Source organism: Homo sapiens, chromosome 14 (genome assembly GCF_000001405.40).
Source record: "Homo sapiens chromosome 14, GRCh38.p14 Primary Assembly".
In the NCBI taxonomy this organism is placed as follows: Eukaryota; Metazoa; Chordata; class Mammalia; order Primates; family Hominidae; genus Homo; species Homo sapiens.
In genome coordinates, this window is record NC_000014.9 from 97,890,803 (window position 1) to 97,894,186 (window position 3,384).

The following is a 3,384-nucleotide window of genomic DNA, read 5'->3' on the forward strand; positions in this document are numbered from 1 at the left end:
CTGTGAGAGATCCACTAAAGCACAGCACATTTTAACACCCTCAAGAAGCTTCTTAAAAAGAAAATTATACATACATATGTACTTGAGAGCAATGCAAAGGGAAACTATTTTTGTTTTTGTTTTTTGACAGAGTCTTGCTCTGTGGCCCAGGCTGGTACGATCTTGGCCCATTGCAACCTTCGCCTCCCAGGTTTAAGCAATTCTCCTGCCTCAGCCTCCCAAGTAGCTGGGATTACAGGTGCCCGCCACCATGCCCAGCTAATTTTTTGTATTTTTAGTAGAGATGAGGTTTCGACATGTTGGCCAGTCTGGTCTTGGACTCCTTACCTCAAGTCATCCACCTGCCTGGGCCTCCCAACGTGCTGGAATTACAGGAATGAGCCACTGCATCCAGCTTGTTTTTAGTTTCTGTTGCTGTTGTTAATCAGGAAACAGAGTTTCTTAGAGTGAATTGACTGCTCAAAAATTATGTTAAAAACATCATTAAGTAATTTAATACAGTCAATATCTAAAGGATCTTGGTTCCCTACTTTACAAAACAATCTAATTTTTAGCTCCTTAATAAGCAGTGTTAAGATAAAGTGTCAATATTGTTATAATTTTATCACATATTCAAACCTCATGTAGTCATTATGTCAACAAATATTTATTGATCGGGCGCTATGGGGTGGGCATTCTTTTAGATAATAAGGATGAAGTGAATAGAAGAGCAGGCAACGTCCCTTCTCTCATGGAGCTAAAAATTTAATCAGAGAAGAAAGACAATAAGCTTAGCTAAATAAAATAAAACACAATTTAACCTCTAGGCAAAAAATTATAATGGGGGATATGACAGAGAGTGACTAACTGGTGGCTTCAGGTTACCCGTTCAAGCAAGACCTCTCTGAAGAGATGACCACTGAGCTGAATCTACATGACAGAAGATGACAGCTAGGCATAGAATGGAGAGCATTTTAGGCTGAGGAAACAGCCAGTTCAAAGGCCCCATAGCAGAAATTAGATGGTCAGGATCATAACACAGAAACAAGCCCAGTGCACAGGCAGTGGGAAGGCCAGGAGGGCAGGAGTCAGTAGTCAGGGCTGACATGAGTAGAAAGTAGCCAGACCAGGCTCCCTGAGCTTGGGTAGGGAGCTTGGATTATGTTTTGTGTGTGGTGGGAATTCACAGGAGTGAGACACTGGTGTAACATTATTTGCATTTCAATAAAATCACTCCAACTACTATGTATGGAAGAATTGAAGGGAAGCATAGGTCTAAGCAGATAAACCAGGCGAAAGGCAGTCTGAGTTGCCCAGGAAGAGAGGGGGTGACAGTAGAAAAGACAGAACGTATCAGATAGCACTGAATGTGCTTAGGAGACATTTTATAGCAAGTTTGTCCAACCCACAGCCCATGGGCTGCATGCAGCCCAGGACGGCTTTGAATGAAGCCCAACACAAATTTGAAAACTTTCTCAAAACATTACATGTGGTTTTCTTTTTTTTTTTTTTTTTTTTTTTTTGCGATTTTCTTTAAGCTCATCAGCTATGGTTAGTGTTAGCGTATTTCATGTGTGGCCCCAGACAATTCTTCTTCCAATGTGGCCTAGGGAAGCCAAAAGATTGAACACCCCTGGTTTATAGCATTTGCTAATGGCCTGGATTTGTGGCACATGGAGAAATGCTTGAAGTTTTCAAATTATGAGGTTTTCAAAAAATATAACAGCCAGGTAGAAGCAAGTCATAAAAATTACTTCTTGGGCTCAGCAAAGCTCCTTTTCTCAACTTAGACTTCACCCACTCCTTTGATGTCTTCTATTTTTGATTTTTTTGGGAACTAAGTAAACTCCAGGCAGTGTTTTAAGGACTCCTTTTATTTTTCTCACCCACATCCTTAGCACTGAAATGAACCTTCTGTGTAACTGGATATAAAGTTTTGCATTCAGTAGGTGTTTAATGGGTTCCTCTGGGATTACACCAAGGATAAGAATAAAATACCTCATCCCTGTGAGTCAGACCCATGACCCCCACTCCCAGTGACCTGAGATCTGGCTGTGTGGAGGTGTGACCTTGCAGAGAAGGGAAGGGGGAGGGATAGGAAAAGTATCTTCAATAGGAAGCCTTAGGCCCAGTTCTCAAAATAGCCTCGTTTTCAAGACATAGAGGGAGAGGAAGAGCAATCCTATCAGAGGGAACAGTAGAGAGGCAGAAGGGAACATAGGGCCCTCTGAGTAAGGCACTGGAAAGGGAGGGTTAGAGTTTTAAAACAAAGAATGGCACAATCAGGCTTGCATCCTTAGAAGAGATCTGCAGTTGGGGTATAAGGAAAAGATGGGAGAGTTCAAGAGACGATGTGGTTAGGAGTGATTACATTATTCGAGGAGAGATTAGAAAATATCTTGGACTATTATAACATTGGTGCCATATTTTTTGAGATGAGGTAACATTTTCCCAGCCTGGGCGACATTCTGAAATTTATGTATTTAAAACCATGCTTTCCGATAGAAACAACAATGCAAGCCACAAATAATTTTAAATGTTCTGGTAGCCACACTGAAAAGGGTAAAAATAAAGAGGATTTAATTGTAATAATAGATTTTATTAACTCAATATAAACAGAATGTTATTATTTTAATACATAATCAGCATATACTATAAATGAGGTATTTTACATTCTTTTCTTTTCAAACCAAGGCTTTGAAATCTGGTGTGTATCTTATACTCACACCACATCTCAACTTGCACATCTGTATTTCAAGTGCTTAATCGCCCTATTAGTGGCTACCACAGTAGACAGCTTAGCTCTGGAATATTCTAGAATTCCTACTTCAACATGAGCCAATGATCTCATGCAGAAATTCATTCCTGGTATATACTCTCAGATACAGGACCTGGAGCCAGGAGACCCCAGTTCTGGCCACTACCCTTCTACAAACCAGCTGCAGGATCTTCAATTGCCCCTTCTCTACCCCAAAGGGCAGGAAGTAATGATGTGTTTTTGCACTAAGTTTCTATGATGGAATCATTTTTCATCTGTAGTAGTGGAGGAAATTCCAGAGGAATTATTTTGAAGGTCTGCGACAGTCTACCAGTTTCGATGCGTGGACATTTTCTTCTGTGCATGCAGCAGTTTCGCCCTAAGCACTGTTCATATCTGATATGGAAAGACTGGTCTTCTTAGTCAGTTATTGGACAGAAAACCTTCAAGTGTGTCTCCTAGTCCGTGGGAAGTGGGCAGGGTGGTTCCGCTGCGGGACTTGTCCCATGAGTCAGGGATAAGCTGAATAATGCCAGGGGGCACTAGCAGAGATAAGAGGCAGCTCGGACCAAATCTCAGGGCTCATCACTCGCTGTCCCAAGTTACTTCTTGCAAAAGGCTAGGTGTTAACCCATCTGGCCTGGCTG